The sequence below is a fragment of the Homo sapiens genome, chromosome 20 (genome assembly GCF_000001405.40).
Source record: "Homo sapiens chromosome 20, GRCh38.p14 Primary Assembly".
In the NCBI taxonomy this organism is placed as follows: Eukaryota; Metazoa; Chordata; class Mammalia; order Primates; family Hominidae; genus Homo; species Homo sapiens.
This window is the reverse complement of record NC_000020.11, coordinates 5,527,008-5,552,144: the sequence shown is the minus strand read 5'-3', so window position 1 is coordinate 5,552,144 and position 25,137 is coordinate 5,527,008. Positions and strand designations below refer to the sequence as shown.

General features: G+C 42.6%; 1 protein-coding gene and 2 pseudogenes across 1 annotated transcript in view, besides 3 other annotated features; 1 reads left to right on the top strand and 2 right to left on the bottom strand.

Moving 5' to 3' along the window:
• The window catches only part of GPCPD1 (glycerophosphocholine phosphodiesterase 1), a 66,568-nt gene extending 58,862 nt beyond the window's left edge, over window positions 1-7,706 (top strand). Inside the window, exon 20 of the mRNA NM_019593.5 lies at window positions 4,295-7,706. Within this exon, the coding sequence (NP_062539.1) occupies window positions 4,295-4,484 (190 nt within the window). The 3' untranslated portion in view covers window positions 4,485-7,706. The remainder of the gene's footprint in view (window positions 1-4,294) is intronic.
• On the bottom strand, window positions 2,500-3,293 carry EIF4EP1 (eukaryotic translation initiation factor 4E pseudogene 1; annotated as a pseudogene).
• Window positions 10,781-11,050: an enhancer, noted in NCBI's record as "active region_17520". NCBI's record gives its function as "activates an Ori minimal core promoter by ATAC-STARR-seq in GM12878 lymphoblastoid cells {active_cell/tissue: GM12878}" and the evidence as "EXISTENCE:reporter gene assay evidence [ECO:0000049][PMID:35858748]".
• RPS18P1 (ribosomal protein S18 pseudogene 1) lies at window positions 18,810-19,267 on the bottom strand (annotated as a pseudogene).
• Window positions 22,035-22,104: an enhancer, noted in NCBI's record as "active region_17519". NCBI's record gives its function as "activates an Ori minimal core promoter by ATAC-STARR-seq in GM12878 lymphoblastoid cells {active_cell/tissue: GM12878}" and the evidence as "EXISTENCE:reporter gene assay evidence [ECO:0000049][PMID:35858748]".
• Window positions 22,744-23,285: an enhancer, noted in NCBI's record as "NANOG hESC enhancer chr20:5509506-5510047 (GRCh37/hg19 assembly coordinates)". NCBI's record gives its function as "activates a minimal SCP1, AML or CMV promoter by ChIP-STARR-seq in naive H9 embryonic stem cells {active_cell/tissue: H9 hESC(naive)}" and the evidence as "EXISTENCE:reporter gene assay evidence [ECO:0000049][PMID:30033119]".

Sequence of the window (25,137 nt, the reverse complement as noted above, 5' to 3'; positions counted from 1 at the left end):
TAGTTTTAAAATTCAAATAGTTTGATAAGTCTTATAATAAAATACCAATAATTTCTTGTACCTATTTCTTCCATTGTCTCTGGCTGAGACCGTGTCCCCTCAAATCTTTATTTGGCTCTTCTGGCAGTTACCTCTATTTCTAAATAATCTGCTTATGCTATTTTTTCCATTATCAAATTTAGATATCACATAGAAGGTTTTGAATGATTAGTGACTTGGAGCCTTTGAGGCATTTTGGATTGGAGAGAGGTGTGGTGAGAGTGTGTGAGTGTGTTTTCAATTATCAAACACTCAACTGCTACATATCATTTTCTGGTATTTTGTTTGGAAAATTTGCACTTAGGATGATGAGTAAGAGGCCGTTCTTTTTATTTTTTTGAGACAGAGTCTTTGTCACCCAGGCTGGAGTGCAGTGGCACTGTCTCGGCTCACTGCAACCTGGGTTCAAGTGATTCTCCTGCCTTACCCTCCAGCTCCTGGGTTCAAGTGATTCTCCTGCCCCAGCTGTAGTTTTGTATAGTTTCAAGCTTTAAATATACTTCATAAAACTTGTAATTATGTTCTTAAAATTAACATATTGTTGCATGTAGCTATACCTTACTCCTTTTCGTGGTCTTGTTAATATTCCATTGTTGTCTTTACCACAACTTAGACTGCTATTTAGGAACATTTAGGTTGCTGCCAAGTAATTGCTATTTTATAGTGTTGCTGTGAACATTATTGATAGTACAATGACTTTCAAACCTTTTTGCACCCAGCTTATTTTATGCGGCAACCCAGTACACAGATAAGGTATATTTACAAGTATGCACCTGAAACAATTCCAAGTGTCCTTTAGATACTTCCTGTTCATGCGTGTACTTCTTTGTGTGTGTGCGCTTAAATGCTAGTCTTAACTTTCCGAACTGTTTGTGTGACCCGCTAGGTCTCTAGCTCAGCACATCTGCCTGTGGGTCAGGCATAGGAGGTATAGCAGGAGTGGGCTGTCCTGTATTTCCTGGTTCTACACTCACTGTAGCCTGTTACCAGTTCTCAGGAGTAGGCCAAAGCATTATAATCCTGCAGGTAATGTGGAAACTTAATCAGCACATGGTTAGACCATATTTAAGTAATATGCCAGTTCAGGCTCATGAGGGCACTCTGTTCTTAGGTTAACATAGCTGCTAGAGTGACAGTGTCTCTCTCGGAGTAATAGCCCTCAATACGTCTGCCTCTCCACCGGGCTGCTCCAGTACTGATTGGTTGATTGTGCACAGCTGTCATCCTGTGCCCTGCCATTCTCTGTGTTAGATCTCCTGTTTCCTGTAGCTCATATCTTTTCCTCTCTTGGTTCAATGAGTTTTATGGGACATGTCTTTCAGCATCTTCTTAAGAAAGGTGGACACAGGAGGTAAATGTTTTTGAGGTTTTATATGTCCAGAAATATCATGGCTGTGTATAGAACTCTATGTTAGAAATACTTTAGAATTTTAGAAACATTCTCCATCATCTTTACCATTCCAGTGTTGTTGCTCAGTGTGAAGCCACCTTGATTATGTTCTCACACATGTAATCTGTGTTTCCTGTTTGGAAGCTTTGAGGGTCTTCCTTTTATTACCAGAGTTTGGGAATTCTATAGAGATGTGTTTTCTTGTGGGTCTGGCTTTGCCCACTTTGCTGGACACTTGGTAACCCTTTTAGTCTGTCAATACATGTTCTTAAACACAGGAAAATTTTTTCAAAAATAATTCTTTTGATTTTTGACCCTTTCAATTTTCTTGATTTTTTTCTTTATAGAAGTCTTTTTGTTTGAATCAAATAGCTCTTGGACCAGATTTTTGATTTTTTTTTCCTCCTATTTTGTCTTTTTTTTTTTTTTTTTGCTTCATTTGAAAGGTTTTCTCAATCTTACTTTCTACTCATTCTGTTGAGCTTTTATGTTTTTTGTTTGTTTGCTTTGTTTGTTTTTTTTTTGAGATAGTCTCACTCTATCATCCAGGCTGGGGTTCAGTGGTGCGATCTGGGCTCACTGCAACCTCTGTCTACTGGGTTCAAGCAAATTCTCATGCCTCAGTCTCCCAAGTAGCTGGGCCTACAGGCGCACGCCACCATGCCTGGCTAATTTTTTGTATTTTAGTAGAGACAGGGTTTCGCCATGTTGCCCAGGCTGGTCTTGAACTCCTGAGCTCAGGCAATTTGCCTTTCTTGTCCTCCCAAAGTGCTGGGATTACTGGTGTGAGCCACCGTGCCTGGCCTCTGTTGAGTTTTTCATGTCTGCTATTGTGTCTTTAATTTCCAAGAACTATCTTTTTTTCTCTGAATGCATTTTTTTCCATATATTTAGCATCCTATTCTCATTTAATGAACATGCTATTTCCCTGAAGTCATTAAGGATTTTTTTTTTTTTTTTTTTTTTTGAGGCAGGTTCTCTCTCACTCTGCTGCCCAGGTTGGAGTGCAGTGGCACAATCTCAGCTCACTGCTCCCTTGACCTCCTGAGTTCCAGTCCTCCCACCTCAGTGAATGAGACTTCTCTTACATCTTAGCAACATTTGGATGGAAATTAAATTTAAATCCAGTCCACTCTAGTAGTTTTTGAAGAGGCTTTGATTCAGCTCCAAAATCTCGATTGCTTGACTTGGTCTCTTATGAGAATACTCAGAAGAATACTCAGAAGGTGTCTTCTTAAACAACAAACCTATTTTTAGTGGTGGAGCTGTTTTTAGTAGCTGTGTCTGCATGGGACTGATAACCAATCACGATGTTTGGAGGAAGTCCTAACCTTTCCTTGTATACCCTCTCTATATGTGTAACAGCTTCTCTGTTTTCACATTCAGTAGTCCATACTGCTATCTTATCACCTTTAGCTCTAACATTAAGAACAGCTGCACATATATCATCACTGAGTCATCAAAAGATTCTCCAATAAGACACAGTAGAGTCTCTAGCCAAAAGTGATTGAGGTCCCTTCATCTCTGCTGTTTGTTCAATGTAAATTAGCCATCATCCTCCCTGTTTGTTTTTCTCATCTTCCCACATGGGCTCAACACCATCCTTAAAAAGTGAGTAGTCACAGCCAGACATTAAATTACTAGACAACTGGATATGGTTGTACAGAGCCCAAAAGTCAACAGGATCAAACTTAGAGATCAGCGGCAGGTTTGCTTGTCAAGTTTTGCTTTTATCTTTTTTAAAAAAACCAGAGTGCCCATCTGTTCTGTAGAGGATGTTTAATATAGTGTTCTGGGTTAGCAACCTCCTGATTAGATTCTGTTTTCTCCTCTTCACAGGGGGATTAGGAGTAGGGGTGGTTTCTGGTTTGACAGTCCGCCGTCTTACATCGATCTGCTCCTGCTTTTAACTCTGCTCTTGTTTCCTACCACTGGCCTGGGAGCCAGCCTTTTCAGTTCTCTCACTGACAAACTTTCAGTTCTTATTTATCCATCTGTTTTCCAGCTTTCAAAATGTTGTAGCTTTGTCTCTTGGGTTTTTCTCTTACTTACGGATTTTATTGAAAAGAATCTTTGTTTTATTTTTAATGGAATATAGGGAGAGAACGAAGTTAGATGCTTCTGTTCTGTCTTGATACCTTGACCCAGAGGTCATTTTTCATTCTCTTAGATATGTCTTTAATAATTAATAGAAACTCTTTGTTTTAATACAGTCAGATATTTATTAGAGTCACCATATTTTTTATCGTGTTGAAAAAATTCTTTCCTACTGTGATGTCATAAAGATTCTCTGATACTGCCTTACATAGTTGCCTGGCTGTCACATTCAGGCACAGGAGGCCATCTTTTCTCTGCTGATGGGTAGTGCCAGTGTCAGGTCACCAGAGGCTCTTTCAGAGTTCTCCACTCTGGACGTGTCTGACGTTATTGAGCAGCTTTAGAGTAGTTCCCACGCTGGTAAGCAGTCTTCTTATCTCGATCTTTAGTGACTTTGAAGTCAGAGCAGTCAGTTTTTTATAGATTTCCATTTGTTAAAAAAAGGCAAGTTGGAGGGCAAATACTTTAAGCTAGATCACAAGTAAACTAGACATTTCATTTTCTGATTCAGCTGCTTTATGTTGAGCTCCATTGCATCGGGGGTACAAAAGGGCAATGCTGCTATTCTGGATTATTGGAAAGACTGGGAAGAAGAGAAATTTTAAAAAAGAGAATGGATACTTTCATCTTTAAAACAAAACAAAAACTCTGATGTGGATGTTCCAGGCATTCTGTAAATGAATTCTTATGAAAAGGTTGAGTCAGGCAGGTCTTAGGTAAACCATAAAATTACAGTATTTTATGTGTTTTGTATTTGTTTCATCATAGGATATATGATTGGATGCCTGAACAACCAAATATATTCCAAGTGGAGCAATTGGAACGCCTGAAGCAGGAATTGCCAGAGCTTAAGAGCTGTTTGTGTCCCACTGTTAGCCGCTTTGTTCCCTCATCTTTGTGTGGGGAGTCTGATATCCATGTGGATGCCAACGGCATTGATAACGTGGAGAATGCTTAGTTTTTATTGCACAGAGGTCATTTTGGGGGCGTGCACCGCTGTTCTGGGTATTCATTTTTCATCACTGAGCATTGTTGATCTATGCCTTTTGGGCTTCTCAGTTCAATGAAGCAATAATGAAGTATTTAACTCTTTCACTACAGTTCTTGCAAGTATGCTATTTAAATTACTTGGCCAGGTATAATTGCCAGTCAGTCTCTTTATAGTGAGAAAATTTATTGGTTAGTAATATAAATATTTTAAACTAAATATATAAATCTATAATGTTAAACATATGTTCATTAAAAGCATAGCACTTTGAAATTAACTATATAAATAGCTCATATTTACACTTACAGCTTTTCATTTGATCAGGTCTGAAATCTTTAGCACTTAAGGAAAATGACTATGCATAATTATACCTGACCATGAAAAAAATAAGTACCTCAAATGCATGCATTTGCACTGGTGATTCCAACTGCACAAATCTTTGTGCCATCTTGTATATAGGTATTTTTTACATGGGTTGACATGCACACAACACCATTTTCATTCAGTATGAACCTTGAGGCTGCTGCCATTTTTCCACTTAACCAAACCAGCCTGAAGGTGAACCTCGAAACTTGTTTCATAAATCTTTCAAAAGTTGTTTTACATCAATGTTAAAATTTCAAAATGCTGCAGGGTAATTTAATGTATAAAATATTAGTAAGAAAAAGTATGTATTGCATACTTAGTAGAATAGATCACAACATACAAATTCAATTCAGTGCATGCTTTAGGTGTTAAGCATGAGATTGTACATGTTTACTGTTAGGTCCTTGCATCTGTGGTGCTAGGTGAGTATGAGAAGATGTCAAGGACTGGACGTATTTTGTTGCCTAAAAAAAAAAGGCTGTTTGTAGGCGTTTTAAATATGCTTATTTTGTGTGTCTCTCACTACCTATTACACACTGTTGCTTTGTGGGTTTGTTTTGTATGTGCGTGTGTTATACAGTAGTTAAATTTCCATGCAGAAAAATAAATGTCCTGAATTTTCATATTAGTATTCTTTATTGTATATCATGCATGTAATTTATTTAGAAATGTAGGTCTTACTAAATGTATATGCATGTATTTCAGATTATACTAGGATTTCTTGGATTAGAAGCAGATTGTGTTAACTGTAACTTAAAGAATGAATGTTAAATAAAATGATACAGATTTATTTTCTTCATTACAAAATGAAATTTCAAGAAGGTGTTACTTTTGTAGAATGGTTTTATAATATGACAAGAAATTTTAATATAGTGTCTACCCTAAAGGGATGGCTTATTTGCATCTACCTTTTACTGCATGTTTTTCACAAGGCAGTTTATTCATATATTGACATATTTTGGTAGTAGCTGAGAACCTAAGACTTGAAATTATACATTGTGTAGTATTTTTTAAGCTAAGCAATGCAATTTTGGTCAGATCTTATTTGTGTGAAGATAGGCTCTGAAATCCTATGGTATTGCGTTTGTAACGTTGATATTAATGCAAAATAGTTTAGGAAATGGAGTCTTCTGCAAGGGTTCTGTATACTTTTCCCACATTGTATGAGATTTTCCAAAATTTTGGTGTGAATTGGGCACTTTTGGAAAACTCCTGAAAAAGAATTAGTTTCCTTCATCTGCAGACCTTTGTCCAATACGGTTACCATTTCTTTATAGTAACTCGATTAGCCATATATGTTTGTTTCTAGTCCTGCTCCTTTGCTCCTCTCCTATGCCTTCCCAGTGCTGGCTCCATTTTGAAGACTCAAGGACAGAGGGGAAGCAGATCATAAAGAGAAAAAGGAGACAGAAGAAAGGATGAAGGAAGGAGGTCATGGGGAGTGTGGCTTCTGAGCAGTTTAGTTGCTGGGGAGAGCAGACAGTCACTGCCTACAATACAGACAGAACCTTCCTGCTCACTTTCTGTCCTATCTCTTCCTGACCTTATGAACCAGTGTTAGTAGATGATTAAAACATGACAAGCAATGGCTCCTTATTTTCACAGGACTAAGTCCGGGCCTTCGTATCACTAGCTGTTGCCTTTTACACCCTGCTTCAGCCACCCTGTCCCTGTCATTGGCCCTGGACTTCCTCTCTGTGCCCGTGTGTCCTCTGCCTGGGAGCCCTCTCCTCCCATAGTCACTTTCTCTCTGCCAAACTCATTTCTTCTTGTGCCCAAGACCTCTCTCCTGAGCCCTTGTGGAAACTTCAGGAAGGATGAATCCGTCTTTGTGCTCCACGGCTCGTACCTTGATCAGGCTGTGCATCACAGTAATTCTGTTCTAGGTAGGCAGAGTTGATCTTTGTCTCATCTGCCAGGCTGCAGGCTCTTCAAGGGCAGGGACCTTGTCATAGTCATTTTTATTTTCACAGTGCTTGGAACATGGTGGAAAATGAATGTTGGAATTATTGGAGTAATATAATTTGTATCAAATGTCCTTTTGAATTAAGAGATTTAGTTATGTTTACTAAGAATGTAAACTTTGAATTGGTTTGCATTTTAACAATTAGGATGGTTTATTGATGTGAATTTTGAAATGTAGAGGTATAATGTTAAATTATTTTATACTTTATGGAAATCAAGTGAAATGTTTGAAAAAATGCCGCCATTATCCTCTGGTATTTTCTACTCTCTGGAATTATGTGCTGTAAATGATCGGCTGTAAATGTGAGGCACACCACCCACCCCTGTGTGGAAAGTGTTGTGGCGCTTCCTGCCACCCACCCACCTCTCTGCCGTTGCTCCTTGTGACACTTGTCTGTCGTCTCCCATCCAAACTCCAAGCTTACAGCTACCTCAGTACTGCTTTGCTTGTCTGAAACACCTCCTTTGCCTTCCTTCAGTGTCCCGCTCAGGTGCAGCCTCCTCCCTAAAGCTCATCTCAGCTTTTGATCTGAATGATGATGGAAACATGCAGACAGCCTCTCAGTCTTACTATTTAATGTTGTAGCTGGGAAAAAACCCAGAGAGGTTAACTGATATACTGGGTTGGGACTAGGATGTGGGTTTTGTGACTCTGAATCCCATGTTCTCAAACTACGCTGCCTTCCGAAGTCTGGCATTTGTTAGCTCATGCTTCCTTGTAGTCCAGCTTCTTATGTGCCTGTTATATTCTCCAGTAAGATTGTAAGCCCCTTAAGGGCAGGGACGTCTTTGCATCTCTAGCACTGCTATAGTGTTCTATCCTTAGTTATGAACTAGATAAATAAATGGTGGTGGCAACAATCCTAGTTTCCTAACTCAGATTGTTTCACGATAAACACAGTTTTGTATGGCATGCTTGGCCATAATGTCTGGAGTATGTGTGTGCTCACATATGCGTGTGTGTGTTTGCATGGGTTTGTATGTTTACCAATGGAGTTCTCTGTCCTGGTTGCTTGGAGTCATGTATTTGATGGATTATGCTAAAACCAATTTTTTGCTCCATGCAGACTGAGGAGAAATACAGGGATAGTTATTCCATTTAAGTGGAAGAAGAAGGTACAGTTTTTCCCCCAGGCCTGGTTGCCTCTTCCTGGGACAGCACACCTAAGTCCCGCAGTTGGTGGACTGGTAGTGAAAAGGGCGCTGCCTTGGATAGGAATTGTGTGGCCTGGGGCAGGTCGCCTCATTAGTCCTGGTGGACACTCATTGCCCTTTCTGCCTAGGCTCGCTCTCTATGCCTCTGACTAAATTCTGCCTCTCACATTATTACTGGCTTGGTACTCTAGGCTGATAATGGAGTCCTATTAATTGAGATTTGGATACAGTTGATTTATTCCTTTGCATTTTAGTTTTGGATCATGTATTTTTGGGGTAGAAAGCAAAGTATTTGTATTGGAAATACTGCATGATTTTGGCACTCATGATTGGAAACTCATTCCAACATGACCTGTTAGTGAGCTTGTACAACTTGAGAAGTAGGTTTGAGGTTTTTAAAATGCAAGAGACCATATGATGAAGACTACCATGCAAATGTATGTGGAGATGAGGAGGGGAGATGATAGGCTGGAACAGGTGGAGACTTCATAGAGTTCTCAAGCTCTTACAGATAGAGGTACAGGTCAAGGGAGTTGTGAAACCAGTTTGGGTGGCAGTCTGCATAAAGTCAGAGGCCAGGGTCATATTCGTGGTGTGTTCAGGAGGAATGAAGGAGCCATTTTGACAATGGAGAATATATTGTGAATGCCAGAGAGAAGCTTAGCATGGTATAGGAGATAAAAGTTAATGACTGTTAAGAAGGGAAATGACATGAAAGTCAAGTGTTTAAAAGTAATGAGGAAAGTAATATTAGTATAGGAATAATAAGAGGGATACTATAATTTATCTAGTCCTCTACTAAATTTACTTAAACATGAAAATAGAAATGTGGGTAGGATGGGTGAACTTCTGAAGCTTACTTGCAAAGCCAAACTACTTAATTTAACAGGAAGAAAGCTATAAAAGCTCAGCAAAAGTTCGGTGGCATCTCACAGTTTTAAATGTATCTCTCTGCAGACCAGACCTCTCAAATAAGTTCTAGATTCATACATCCAACTGTGTCCCCATCTCCACTTTAAGGTCTAATAAGCATCTCGCACTTAACATACCTCAACAGAGCTCTTCCTTCCTCCTTCCTTCTACCAAACCTGCTCCCATTCCACCTCCTCCCAAGTTCTGTCTCAGTGTGTGGTACCTGGGAGTCATCCATGCGATTAGTATAGCTTTATGTTATGTGTGTTAGGGTAGTTGCTCAATATTTTTAAATAACTTTTAAAATAACTTTTAAATATTTTAAAATAACTTGATACTTTATCAAATGCCAGAAGAGTTCGCTTGAGAGTCTGATCAGTGTTGGACTAATTTGCTACATTAAGAATATAGCAGGGGCCGGGCGCAGTGGCTCCTGCCTGTAATCCCAGCACTTTGGGAGGCTGATCACCTGAGGTCAGGAGTTCGAGACCAGCCTGGCCAACATGGTCAAACCCCATCTCTACTAAAAATATAAAATTGGCCGGGCATGGTGGCGGGAGCCTGTAATCCCAGCTATTCGAGAGGCTGAGGCAGGAGAATCACTTGATCCTGGAAGGTGGAGGTTGCAGTGAGCCGAGATCACGTCACTGCACTCCAGCCTGGGTGAAAAAACTAAAATTTGTTTGGAGAGGCAAAGGAACTAGAATAGCTAAAAACAATTTTGAGCAAGAAGCAAGTGGGAGGAATCACTCTACCTGATTTTAAAACTTACGTAACTACAGGAATCAAAACTGGTACCGGCGGAAGGATAGATACATAGATCAGTGGCCTAGAATAGAAAAATCCACACAAGCACAGCCAAATGCTTTTTGACAAACATGCAAAGGCAATTCAATGAAGGATTGAAAGAAGGATGGTCTTTTTAAGAAATGATGCTGGAGCGGCCAGGCGTGGTGGCTCACGCCTGTAATCCCAGCACTTTGGGAGGCCGAGGTGGGTGGATCACTTGAGGTCAGGGGTTCGAGACCAGCCTGGCCAACATGGCAAAATCCCATCTCTACTAAAAATACAAAAATTAGTGGTGGCATGCGTCTGTAATCCCAGCTACTTAGGAGGCTAAGGCATGAGAATCGCTTGAACCTGGAAGGCGGAGGTTGCAGTGAGCCAAGATTGTGCCATTGTACTCCAGCCTGGGCAACAGAGTGAGACCCTGTCTCAAAAAAAAAAAGAAAAAAATGCTGGAGCAATGGGACATCCAATGCCACGAGAGTGAACGTTACACCTATACAAGAAGTAACTCAGAATCATAGATTAAAATATAAAACCCCAAATCTTTTAGCAGATAACAGGCTGGGTGTGGTGGTTCACACTTGTAATCCCAGACCTTTGAGATGAAGACTAGTCTGAGCAACACAGCAAGATCTCATTGCTACAAAAATTTAGAATATTAGCCCAGCATGGTAGCATGCACCTGTGGTCCCATCTACTCCGGAGGCTGAGGCAGAAGGATTGCTTGAACCCAGGTGGTTAAGGCTGCAGTGAGCCATGATTGTGCCACTGCATTCCAGCCTGGGTAACAGAGCAAGACCCTGTCTCCAAAAAAAAAAGATAATGTAGGAGAAAATCTTCAGGACCTAGGGCTTGGTAAAGAACTCTCAGACATGACACCAAAAGTACCATTCATAAAATTTAAAAATCAATAAACTGGACTTTGTAAAAATGTAAAACTGTTGCTCCATGAAAGACCCATTAAAAGGACAAAAAGGGCCAGGCATAGTAGCTCACGCCTGTAATCCCAGCACTTTGGGAGGCTGAGGTGGGCAGATTGCTTGAGTCCAGGAGTTCAAGACCAGCCTGCACAACAGGGTGAAACCTCATCTCTACAAAAAATACAAAAATTAGCTAGGTGTGATGGCACATGCCTGTAGTCCCATCTACTCAGGAGGCTGAGGTGGGAGGATCACTTCAGCCCTGAAGGTTGAGGCTACAATGAGCCGAGATTGTGCCCATGCACTCCAGTCTGGGCAACAGAGCAACACCGTCTCAAAAAAAAAAGAATAAAAAGACAAGTTTACAAAGTGAGAGATAAATTTGCAAAACAAATCTCTGACAACGAACTCTGAAAATTCAACGTTAATAGCCAGGTGCAGTGATGCCTGTAGTTCCAACTACTGCTGAGTGGGAGGATCACTTGAGCCCAGGAGTTCAAGGCTGTAGTGAGCTGTGATTGTGCCACTGCACTTCAGCCTGGGTGACAGAGCAAGACCTTGTCATAAAACAACAACCAAGAAAAAAAAATGAAAATTCAGTTTAAAAATGAGCAAAAGATATGAGGATATGTCATATTAAAGATGATATAAGAATATCAAACACATGATAAGACATTTAACATCATTAGCCATTAAGGAAATGCAAATTAAAGTCATGATGAAGGCCAGGCCTGGTGGCTCACACCCGTAATCTCAGCACTTTGGGAAGCCAAGGTGGGTGGATGACTTGAGGTCAGGAGTTTGAGACCAGTCTGGTCAACATCTCTACTAAAATACAAAATTAGCCAGGCGTGGTGGCACATGCCTGTAATCCCAGCTACTCGGGAAGCTGAGACAGGAGAACCTCTTGAACCTGGGAGGCAGATGTTGTAGTGAGCCAAGATCATGCCACTGCACTCCAGCCTGAGCAATACAGTGAGACTCCATCTCAGGAAAAAAAAAAAAAAAAAAAAAAAAAACATACCCAATGGGTAAATGGTCTCCAAGTTCCTAGAAACCAACTTTATAAGTGATCTTTAGAAGCACAGTTTCTTGTGTCAACTAGTGTCTCTAGTTGAGATAGTAGTGAGAGTCTGTCTCCACTGACTTTCAGCAAGGTTGTTCCATGAGAAAAGGGCCAAGGTTTGGGGAATGAGTGTGATGAAGATATCCCAGGCTTGGTGTTAGAAGGAAGTGGCCATGTGGATAGCAGACGCAGAGGTGCCTAGGCTCCCAGCATGTTTCTGTAATTGCCTGATGGGCTTGTCCTCCCCATTGCACAGACAAAATCAATTCACTGAGACCATGGCATTACAGTGAAGAGTTTAATTGATGCAAGACCCACCACCACACAGGAGATGGAGTTATTACTCAAACTGATCCCTGTGAAGGCTTTGAGTTTAGCGGTTTTCAAGTATAGTTTGGTGGGCAGGGGACTAGGGAATGCTACTAATTGGTTGGGGATGCTATCACAGGGGCATGGAAAATGGTTTGCCTCTGAGTGGGGGTCCCAGAGGACTGCTTAGTCATGAGTCATGAGTCTGGGTGGAGTTAGCCAATTGTCAGAAGTGCAGAAGTCTGAATAGACACCTCAAAAGACCAATCTTAGGTTCTACAATAGTGATGTTATCTACAAGAGAGATTGGGGAAGTTGCAAATCTTGTGACCTCCGGAACAATGGCTGTTTTTCCTTTACGCCTCCATCCTAGCAGAATTCGGGCCCTTCTCATTCTCCTAACCTTGCGGCCTTTCATTAGTTTTACAAAGGTGATTTAGTTTTGGGAAGGGCTATGGTAGTCTAAGGTTAAACTATAAACTAAATGTCTCCCAAAGTTAGTCTGGCTTATGCCCAGAAATGACCAAGAACAGCTTGGAGGTTAGAGGAAGGATGAAGTCAGCTATGTTAGATTTCTCTGTCTAATTTTGCAAAGGCAGTTTCATGTGGAGGACTCTGCCAGAGATACAGAATTTGTGCACCATGCCTCAGCCTCTCTTCTTTTAGGAAATATCCCAGAGATGCACATGGCACATAAATTCCCAGCTGGTCCCTTCTGGGAATTTGTAGGTGCGTCTTGGAAGATTCCCCAATGTCCATGTGTTGGACAGTCCTCCCACCTCAGCCCCGCAAGTAGCTGGGACTACGGCGCATGCCACCATGCCTAGCTGGGACTACAGGTGCGTGCCACCCACCTTCCCCTCTGAAAGCATTTCATGGTTGTCACCAAAGTGTGTGGAGTCTGGACCAACAACTCCACTAGCACATTGGTAGAGTCTTAGTGAGATGACTTTGGCTCAAAGAGGAGTCCCCAAAATGTTTATACCTCTTGTAACTAATCATTTTTAAGTTTGGGAAACATTAGGAAATAAGGAAGCCAATGACTATTGATGGCAAAAATGCAGACGCTATGACTCCTTTGCTGTGACTCTGGCAGTGAATCCTGTACTGGACTAGCTCAAGTATGGGCAGGGAAGTGCTATAGCTTGTATTGTTTAGTTCCCAGTTTCCCTGTGGGGCACTATTTGGGGTACAGGAATTGCTCATGATTTTACATAACGCAGAGATACCTACTAGACAGAATTTCACCAAGTCATGGCTAGGCACTGGAGGCTCAGTGGTGAGCACGTGGTTACCCCCTCATGAAGCTCAACAGCCGCAACATGCAATGCATTGGAATCCTGCCTCCACCTGTGTGAATCTCTGTTTGAGCATCAGTCTCTCAATCTCTCTCTCTCTCTCAGACAGGATCTCACTCAGTCACCCAGGCTGGACTGCAGTGGCATGATCACGGTTCACTGCAGCCTTGGTGCCGGGGGCTCAAGCCATCCTCCTGCCTCAGCCTCCTAAGTAGCTGCAACTGCAGGTGCATGCCACCATGCCCAGCTGATTTTAGAAAAATTTTTGTAGCGATGGAGTTTTGCCATATTACCCAGTCTGGTCTGGAACTCCTGGGCTCAAGCGATCCTCCTGCCTCAGCCTCCCAAAGTGCTGGGATTACAGGCGTGAGTCACCATGCATGGCCAATAAAACCAAGTTTTTTTTTTTTTTCAAATGGAGTCTTGCTCTTGCTCTTGTTCCCCAGGTTGGAGTGCAATGGCGCGATCTCAGCTCACTGCAACCTCCACCTCTGGGGTTCAAGCAGTTCTCCTGCCTCAGCCTCCCGAGTAGCTGGGATCATAGACGCATGCCACCACACCCGGCTAATTTTTGTATTTTTTGGTAGAGACAGGGTTTCATCATGTTGGCCAGGCTGATCTTGAACTCCTGACCTTGTGATCCACCTGCCTCAGCCTCCCAAAGTGCTGGGATTACAGGTGTGAGCCACTGTGCCCGGCCTAATAAAACCAACTTCTAATGACCACAGCTCTTTGCCAGCAACGGTGACCCAAATAAGTCCAACGAACAGGGAGGCTGTGGAATGGCACATGAGTCACTCTGGACCAGCAGGAAAATAGATTTTCACAGGTCTAGGGCAGGGCATGAATGAGGTGAGCACTGGACCGCTTATCATGTCGAAAGCAAGGAAGGTATCAAACACTAATAGGATGAAGTCAAAGGAACCCAGAACCGACTCACCTATGATGGGACAAGTTTTAGCACCAAAACAGATGTTTACAATAGACTGAAACATATCATAATGACAAAATTACAAAATGAAGCAACAGCAAGACCCCCCGCATTTGTCACCACTAGAATTTTCCAGGGAATAGGTCAGTTCTTTGACAATTGAGAAATAAAGGGACAGAATCAAGCATTTATCCTACCTTTCTATATTAGCTCCCTTGCTTCTTTCCTCCCTCTCTCTCCCTTCCTTCCCTTTTTTCCTTCCTTCCTTCCCCCTTCCCTTCCCTTCTTTCATCTTTCTTCTCTTTCTTTCCTTTCTTCAGGGACGCATTCTGTTGACCAACCTGGAGTGCAGTGGTGCAATCATGGCTCACTGCAGCCTTGACTTCACAGGCTCAGGTGATCCTCCCACCGCAGCCTCCTGACTAACTGGGATTACAGGCATGCACCACCAGGCCTGGCTACCTTTTGTAATTTTTTTGTAGAGATGGGGTTTTGACATATTGCCCAGGCTGATCTCGAACTCCTGGACTCAAAGCGATCCACCCACCTTGACCTCCCAAAGTACTGGGATTACAGGCATGAGCCACTGTGCCCCGCATCAGCTGTATTTCAAAAACACCAAGTCGGTGATAAGGAAAAGTTTTCCTTTATAGAAGAATTCTATAATAGAAGCAAAAGGAATGATAGAATTTTTAAAAAAAATCATCTTGCAGGCATGAATGAAACAATGAATGTAAATAATGATCATCAGGAGATGCTAGAACCACGATGTGAAAGGTTTACAGGGAACTTTATGATGAAGAGATCAGGCTCACCACACCTGAACCTGCTGAGCATTTGGCCCTAGCATCACCAAACATAGCAATGAGCCATCCAGATGGGTAGCCATAGCAAAAGCACAATATCTCTTATCAATTCTTCTTCCCTAGAAAGCTGAATCTGAACAAGGCTTTAGATCTGACTTTCCAATGTACAGGGAATACAGGGGACAGAGTACTATAGGATGCAGATGACACCATAGGGAGCAAAAAGCCAAACTCAGAACACGGAATATTCTAGAAGGTAATTGATTCATCCTCTCCAAAAAAGCAATGGCATTGAAACAAAAAGAGATGTAAGACTGCTATGGAATAAAAGAGACTTAAGAGATACAATAACCAAATGCAACCTACGGACCTTTCTAATCCTGATTCAAACAAGCCAATTGTAAAAAGATACCCTGAGATAATCAGATAAATAAATATGCATCCTGGCTAACACGGTGAAACCCCATCTCTACTCAAAGTACAAAAAATTAGCCAGGCATGGTGGTATGCACCTGTAGTTCCAGCTACTTGGGAGGCTGAGGCAGGAGAATTGCTTGAACCCAGGAGGCTGAGGCAGGAGAATCTCTTGAACCCGGGAGGCAGAGGTTGCAGTTAGCTAAGATCGCACCATGGCACTCCAGCCTCGGCGACAGAGCGAGACTCCGTCTCAAAAAAGAAAAAAAATATATATATATGGACAGATAGTAGGTGATATTAAAGGGATTGTTGTTAGCTTTATTGGGTGTTAGCTTTATTGGGTATTTGATGGCATGTGTTTTTAAAATATTCTTATCAGTTAGAGAAGCATGCTAAAGTATTTACAAGAGAAATGATGTAGTATCTTGGATTTTAAAAAGTGTTTGCCTTTTATTTGTTTCCATCCCATTTAATAGAAGTTCAAGTATCTTGGATTTGCTTTAAAACAATCCGGTACAAAAAAGAGAGGATAGATAAAAGGATTCTGGCAACTTGTTGGTAATTGTTATAATTGTAGCTGAGTGATGAGTATCTATTCTGCCTACCTTTGCATGTGTTTAAAATTTTCCCTAACAAAAAGTTAAAAGAGAAAGCAAAAAAAAAAAAAAAAAAAAGTAGGGGAGCGCCAGGGCACTGGTTCTGAATCTGCTCCTAACCAGTTTTGAGCTTGAGCAAGTTAGTTCAATTCTCTGGGTTTCAATTTCCTTGTCAGTAAAATCAGTAATTCAGTGATGACCATCTAACACCTAACTTCTGTGGTTCTTTATTCTCTTTGACTTGGGAACCATTTTTATTTAATTAAATTAAATTTTTTTTAACATCAAAAAAAAAAATAATAGGGACAGGGTCTCCCTATGTTGCCCAGGCTTGCCTTGAACTGCTGCCCTCAAGCAATCTTCCCGTCTAGGCCTCCCAATGTGCTGAGCATGAGACACCATGCTGGCCGGGAGTCATTTTTAAATCCTTCTCTGTGACATCCAGGAGGGGAAGGCAACCGTGGTATGGGTTGTATCAGGAGGTGTGGGCTTCCTGAGGGAAGTGGAAAGCAGAACCAGTCCAGGGTTAAACAGTGGTAATGAAGAGTTTATTCGTGTTTTCTTAGCTAACCAAGGAGCTACAAAGGAGAAGAAGGATTCATTTGACACAATTTCCCCCCACTACCTTTTTATTTTTTCAGTGTATGTTGTTGGGTAATTTCTGTACAGGGTTCTCTATGCTGTGGGTCTAGATGAGAGAATTGCTTACTCACCCGTTGGCCTAATGCAGAGGGAATAGCTTTTCCCAGCTGCGGGGGTGTAACTGTTTCAGCTCAAGAGACTCTTACCCAACATTCTGTTCATCGTAAACAAAATTCTAGGTATGTAGGGAAATGTCTGCAATGAGGCAAGAACAACTTGTGAGCAGAGGGTAGAAAGCTTTTGATGAGTAGCTGCTATAGGATTTCCACATTATGGAATGTAGAAACCCCAGTCTGGCTTCTGAATTCTTATACTCTGTCAGCTGGTATTTGTCTAGGGCATACACATTGACTGTAATATTAGATTGAGCCAAATGTCTATAGAAATATACATCTGCAAAAAAATGCACCCTTAAGAATCAATTAGCTGTTAGTTATGCCTTTGTTATTCAGCAAGCGACAGGGAGATGACTGTGGATTGATCTATAATTCTTTTAATTTCAGAAGTCAAGTTGCATAGCTTTAAATACCATCTATGTGGTATAGACCCTCAGATTTATACCTGCAGCCTCATCTCTCCTGTGAACTGCAGATCCCTATTAGACAACTGCCTACTCAGAATCTAGCAGGTGGTCTAGCAGGTCTCTCAAACTTAACATATCCCAGTATGAACTCATGTGCAACCCCTTCTTCTCAAACATTTTACTTGCGGTCTTCCACATAACAGGCGCTCCATCCTTCCAGTTTCTCAGGTCAAATCTTTAGTCACCTTTGCTTCTTTTTTTTTTTTTTTTTTTTTTTGAGACAGAGTCTTGCTCTGTCACCCAGTCTGGAGTGCAGTGGCACGATCTTGGCTCACTGCAACCTCCGCCTCCTGGATTCAAGCGATTCTCCTGCCTCAGCCTCCCGAGTAGCTGGGATTACAGGCGAGTGCCACCACGCCTGGCTAATTTGTGTATATTTAGTAAAGACAGGGTTTCGTCATGTTGGCCAGGCTGGCCTCGAACTCCTGACCTCAAGTGATCTGCATGCCTCGTCCTCCCAAAGTGCTGGGATTACAGGCATGAGCCACTGCACCCGGCCCACCCTTGATTCTTTTACTTTAATTCCCAACCTCCGATTCATTAGCAAATCCTGTAGGGTGCTTCTTTCAAAATATTTCTTTTCTCCAGCATGAATTGGAATCTCTGGCCAGAACTGGACCTCCTCCCTGCTTCTGGTCACTACTTGGTCACCACGGAGAAAATCAGGACTTAACTTCTTTATAACTCTGATCTCTGCTTATTCCAGGCACCACGAAAACCCCAGGACTCCCTGGAGATCCCTCAGCCCTGAGACACTTGTCCCATACAATTGTGCTTCTGCCTCTCTGAGCCCTTCTTCCAGCTCTCACCATCCCCTGCAGCTTTTCCTCTGTGCTGCTTGGTGAATTATCAGCTAAATGTCCTCATCCACCTCTCCTCTCTACACATTCCCTTCATCTTCTTTCTCTAGGCTAGCACTGCCCAATAGAAACATAATGCAACCCTAGATGTATTCTAACTTTTCTTTTTGTTTGTTTGTTTTGTGGCAGTGACACGATCACAGCTCACTGTAGCCCCAACTTCCCAGGCTCAGGTGATTCTCCCACTTCAGCCTCCTGAGTAGCTGGGACTACAGGTACTTGCCATCATGCCCAGCTAATTTTGTATTTTTTTGTAGAAATAAGATCTCACCATGTTGCCCACGGTACTCTCGAATTCCTGAGCTCAAACAATCCACTCACCTTGGCCTCCCAAAGTGCTGGGATTACAGGTGTGAACCACCTCACCCAGCTAAATTTTCTAGTAGCCCTATTAAAATAAGTAAAAAGAACCAGGTGAAATTAATTTCAACTATATATTTTATGTAGCCCAATAAATCCAACACAAAAAAACATATTTTATATAACCCAAAACACTGCAACATGCAGAAAATATAGAAATGTTAAAAGGTATTTTACATCTTTTTTCTTCCATACTGTCTTTAAAATCTGGTGTGTATTTTATGTGTAGAGCACATGATAGTTTGACTTTTTTTTAATTTTTAAATTTTTATTTTATTTTGTTTAGGTATATAAACTATTAACAAACAAGGCCTACAAACTTATTTCTTCTTAGATACACCCATGGTATGGCCACAGCGGCCAGTGGTCTTGCTGTGCTGGCCTGGGACATGAAGGCCCCAGAAGTGGCATAGCCCTCTCTGGGCTCAAATCTTCTTCAGTTGCTCCAGGTTCTCACAGAGGTTGTTATCCAGACCATTGGCCAGGTCCTGGCTATATTTTCCGTCCTTTATATCTTTCTGTCTGTTTGAGAACCAGTCTGGGATCTTGGGCTGGCATGGATTCTGCATAGTGGTGATCACACATCCACCTTATGCTCAGTGAGTTCTCCTGGCCTCTCAGTGAGGTCAATGTCAGCTTTCCTCAACACCACAGGAGCGTATCTTCAACACACGCCCTTGATGGCAATGATGGCAAAAGCTATTTTCCGATGCCCATCAATGTTGGTGTTGAGTACTCACAAAATATGCTGGGACTTCTCAGGGATCACTAGAGACATGGTGGCAGCACAAATGGTGGTGTGTAGGTCTCTGGTGGAAGGAAGACAGAATGGAAAAGACCCCTTCTTTTTTTTTTTTTTTTTTTTAGAGACAGAGTCTGCTCTGTCACCAAGGCAAGAGTGCAGTAGCATGGTCATAGCTCACTGTAGCCTCGATCTACTGGGCTCAAGGGATCCTTCTGCCTCGGCCTCCTGAGTAGCTGGGACTACAGAAGCATGCCACCATGCCCAACTAATTATTTATTTATTATTATTAGTTTTATTTTATTTATTTATTTATTTATTTTTGAGATGGGGTCTCACTATGTAGCCCAGTCTGGAGTGCAGTGGCGCCATGCTGGCTCACCACAACCTCTGCCTCCCGGGTAGCTGGGATTATAGGCACGTGCCACTGCATCTGGCTAATTTTTGTATTTTTAGTAGAGATGGGGTTTCACCATGTTGGCCAGGCTGGTCTTGAACTCTGATCCGCCTGACTTGGCCTCCCAAAGTGCTGACATTACAAGTGTGAGCCACCGCACCGGGCCTAATTTTTTTTTTTTAAGATATGGGATCTTGCTATGTTGTCCAGGCTGGTCTTGAACTCCTGGCCTCAAGTGATCCTCCTGCCTTGGCTTCCCAAAGTGTTGGGATTACAGGCGTGAGCCACTGCACCTGGCCAGTTTGGCTTTTCAATGGTTAAAGTGAAATGAAGTCCTACCAAACCAATAAAGCTGTGATTAACAGAAAAATATTTTCTACTGCCTCAGTTTCTAGTTAATTTGAATTAAATTCAATTAAAAATTCAGTCCCTGATCACAGGAGCCGCATTTCAAGAGCTTGGTAGCCACATGTGGTTGGTGGCTGCCACAATGGACTTTGCAGCTCTGTGTGAAACCACACTTCCCCTACTGCTCTCTCAAAACGGGAATGTTTTCTTCCCTGTGCTTTTTGAGTATCTGTGGGCTTGAGGGTGGGGTGGGTGGGGTGAGTGTCTTTTCTGCCAGTCATTGCTGCTTTCCTGGAACATTCTTCCTCCTTCCCATAACAAACTGTTTCTCCCACACCCTGTGGTTACCTTCATCTACCAAAGCCTGGGTACAAACATTCTTCCTTGGAGATTTCACTTTCTGAATCATTGCCACTTTCTCTAACACTTTCCTGTCCTTGGTGATATCAGTAGCTTTGTAAATAATATTTCCAAAATACTGGCCTCTCAGTTTCCTGCCAGTGATCCTGTCATCTCCCCAGCCTTTCATTCCCATGGTCATATCCCAGAGCTCTCCTATCAAATAGCGACACCCTTTCCATAACGGAAATGACATGAGTCCCATTCCCCTCCACTGTTCACTCCCCCTGGCACCCTCCCTGTGCTGAGGCCACCAGTGCATCCATCCCAGCTTCTCTGCTCATGATCCACCTAATCTCATGCTCTCACTGACTGCCCTGCCAGCTGTAATGAGACTGTCAGCTGCTGGAATCTCTTCCTTGTGTGTGCTCAAGGCCCTTGCCCTGTCTTGCTCCATCACATCCCTCTTATTATTTTCATCTCACCTCCAAGTCTGAATCTGCACCCACACAGCTGAACCTGGCTGGGGAAAGCAAGCAGCACCTAAGGTCCCTCATGGTCATGGCCACTAACTGGCCTCAGTTGACCCCAAATCTATGACAGTTCCCTTCAACCTCCCATTCTCCTAGATGCTATTTTACTATCTGTAAAAGGACACAAAAGACCTCCACTTTGCTAAATTCATTTTCCCCCTGAATATATCACTTAGGAAAGTTAATGATACCCTGTTTTCCTGATTTGTAAAAGGCAGATAACGTTGAATATAACTTTACACAACTTAGGTAAATCACATATCAAAAGTCTGCTTGTCAAAAATTAGAGATGCTGGCTGGGCACGGTGGCTCACACCTGTAACCCTAGCACTTTGGGAGGCCAAGGTGGGTGGATCATTTGAGCCCAGGAGTTTGAGAACAGTCTAGACAACATGGTGAAGCTCGGTCTCATTATGTTAAAAACAATTTTAAAAAATTAGAGATGTTAGGCCTGGCATGGTGGCTCATGCTTGTAAACCCAGTGCTTTGGGAGGCCCAGAGGGTCACCTGAGGCCAGAAGTTCAAGACCAGTCTGGGCAACAAAGCGAGACTCTGTCTCTACAAAAAAATAAATAAATAAAAAATAAAAATAAAAACTAGGGGCTGTGGTGGTGCTTGCCTATAGTCTTAGGTAATCAGGAGGCTGAGGTGGAAGGATCGCTTGAGCCCAGGAGTTTGATGCTCCAGTGATCCGTGATTGTGCCACTGCACTCCAGCCTGGGCGACAGAGTGAGTCCCTGTCTCAAAAAAAAAAAAAAAAAAAAAAAAAATCACATGCCAAATATGCTCTGATAGGATTTGGAATTTTCCACATTAAAAAGAAAGAAAGAAAAAAAGGCCAGGCGCAGTGGCTCATGCTTGTAATCCCAGCACTTTGGGAGGCCGAGGCCGGTGGATCACCTGAGGTCTGGAGTTCGAGACCAGCCTGACCATGGAGAAACCCCATCTCCACTAAAAATACAAAATTAGCCAGGTGTGGTGGTGCATAACTGTAATCCCAGCTACTCGGGAGGCTGAGACAGGAGAATCGCTTGAACGCGGGAGATGGAGGTTGTGGTGAGCCGAGATCGCACCATTACACTCCAGCCTGGGCAATAAGAGAGAGACTCTGCCTCAAAAAAAAAAAAAAAAGAGAGAGAGAAAGCTCTGCCTGTTTACCCGATCCTAAGCTGAATGTTGCTAAGCTGAATGTCGCATCTGTGCCTGAGCTGGGTGGGTAAGCATGAACTGCTGAGCCTGGGGTGGTGGAGAAGACCTGGATTCCCTGTGGCTGTCCTGTCAAGATGAGAAAGATGTGCAGCAAAGAGACTGCGGCCGATAATCTTATGAACTTTTTTCTGACAATAAATTGCTAATTACTGTTCTTACTAATTCCAAGCTAAGGGCCATTCTCAATTGGTGTAGGATTGAGCGTATACATAATCACATAACCGAGACTTCCGCAGTAGAAGCTGAGACGCGCGCGCCACCTAGAGGGAGCCTTGTGTGCCGGGGGAGTGTGGGCCGTCAGGGAAGCAGGTTCTCTCTGCCTCTACTCGCTGTGCGTGCCATTACCAAGGTGCCTGAAGGTCTAATTCTTTCTTTCCCCATCTGTAAAATGAGGATAATAATCACTATGACAGATGGCTGCAGTAAAGTTTAATGCGACCATGCCTGTAAGGCATCGATAATGTGCCCCAAATCGTCTAAGTTTTCAGGAAATAAACAGCAGCAATTATAACACATGCAAGCCATGAACCCAAGTAGGTCATCTGCGCTGAACAAACCCTTTCATCGAGTATCGTTGACTTCTGGCTTCAGGTGCGACATACACACTCTGCACCAAAAGGTGAAGAATTCTGGCCACACTCAGTGGCTCACGCCTGTGATCCCGGCCCTTTGGGAGGCCGAGGCGGGAGGATCGCTTGAGCCCAGGAATTCAAGACTAGCCTGGGCAACATAGTGAGACCCTGTCTCTATTAAAAATAAATAAATAAATAAATAAATATTTTTTTTAAAAAAAGGTGAAGAATTCTGAACTACATAATCTCCTGTTACCCTTTGAATCTCTTCATCTACCTCAGAAATGCTGCGTGTGTTTGCAACACATCATCATAGAAACAGGCATCATGACCGTTTAAGTGTAGGGCTTTCCAGGATGGCAGAGGCATTATTAGAGGGCAGATTAATTGCTGTCATCTCAGTGTGCAGGAGCTTGAAATGCTGTGTGCATGTGCTGCCATCTTGTGGTACCTTGGGGGAACATGTATCTGATTATTCTGGAGTCGCTAGCTGACTGGGTGAGTTCTAACCTTTTTGAGCAGGGTTACATGTTACATACATATACACGGTACATAGGCACCCATAAAGCCACACCAAAAATGGTGTCCCAGACAGTGGGTTATTTCACCCATCAAATTATTCACAGGTTACTCTAAGTGTGGGAGAAGAGAGGACAAGGCACATCCGTGCCTAAGGAGGAAACACATGCCCCTTTGCAGACCCGGGGGGCTGTCCTGTGGAGGGAGGCCCTGTTTCCTAAGTGCTTCCGAGGGAAGCAGATCTAGGAAACTGAAGGCCTTAGAGATTCAGCTCAAGATGTACCAACTCTAGACTGAACTCCTCAGTTCTGCTGGTGTGCCAGCACTGCTCGCTCCCAGCCCCTCAACACACACCTTAACTCATTCTCTGGAAAGCTACACACATTCCAAGTAAGAGCGTGGCAGTGTCAGTCCCCAGGCTGCTCTGGACATTCACACACTGAAGGGCATTGGGGTTGTGTCCAGTTTGGGACTATTATGCATAAATCAGCTATAAACACTTGTCTACGGGCTTTCGTGTGAACTAAGTTCTCATTTCTGTTGGCTAATTCCGAGAACAGTTAAGTATTAGGTCATATGGTAGTTGCATGTTTAGCTTTTATTTTTTTTTTTTTCTTTCTGAGATGGGTTCTTGCTTTGTTGCCCAGGCTGGAGTGCAGTGACATGATCATAGCTCACGGTTGTCTCTAATTCGTGGGCTCAAGTAATCCTCCTTCCTCAGCCTCCAGAGCAGCTGGGAGGCCACCACACCTGGCTTATTTTTAAAAGTTTTTGTAGAGATAGGGGGTCTCCCAATGTTACCCAGGCTGGTCTCAAACTCCTGGGCTTAAACAATACTCCCACCTTGGCCTCCGAAAGTGCTGGGATTACAGGCATGAGCCACTGTGCTCGGCTGCATGTTTAATTTTGTTGTTGTTGTTTTGAGATGGAGTCTTGCTCTGTCACCCAGGCTGGAGAGCAGTGGCACAATCTCGGCTCAGTTCACTGCAACCTCCTCCTCCCAAGTTCAAGCGATTCTCCTGCCTCAGCCTCCCAAGTAGATGGGATTACAGGCAGGTGCCACCATGCCCAGCTAATTTTGTCTTTTTAGTAGAGACAGGGTTTCACCATGTTGGCAAAGCTGGTCACCAACTCCTGACCTCAGGTGATCCACCCGCCTCAGCCTCCCAAAGTACTGGGATTACAGGCGTGAGCCACTGTGCCCGGTCTTTTTACACTGTTTTTGTCTGGCTTTGGTATGAGGGTAATACCTGCTTTCTGGAATGAGTTGGGAAGGGTTCCTTTTCCTTCTATTTTCTGTAGAGTTGGTCTTAACTCCCCTTTAAATCTTTAATAGAATTCTCCAGTGAAACAATCTGGGTTGGAGATTTCTTTTTCAGGAAGTTAACTAAAAATTCAATTTTCTAATAGTTATGCAGCTATCCAAATTACCTATTTCAATTAGGTGAGTTGCGGTAGTTTGTACTTTACAAGGAATTGGTCCATTTAATCTAAGTTATCAAATTTATGTATGCAGAGTTGTTTGTAGCATTTCGTTATCCTTTTGATGTCCGCAGCGTCTGTAGTGATTTCCTCTGTTTCACTCCTGATATTGGTAACTGTGTACTATAATTTCTAAAATCTATAAGCGATATTAGTAATTTTTTTCTTCGTCAGTCTTGTCAGAGCTTGGTCAGTTTTACAGATCTTTTCAAAGAACACACTCTTGACTCCACCAACTTTTTCTAATGTTATTCTGTTTTTCATTTCATTGATTTCTGCTCTTTATTATTTCCTTTCTTGTGCTGGTTTTAGGCTTATTTTGCTCTCTTTTTTTAAGTTCTTCTTTTTTTTAAATAACATAAATATTGATGAGATCTCACTGTGTTGCCCAGGCTGGTCTTAAACTCCTGGGCTCAAGTGATTCTCCTGCCTCAGCCTTCCAAAGTTCTGGGATTACAGGCATGAGCCACTGTATTTGGTCGTTTTTCTAAGTTCTTGAAGGAGAGT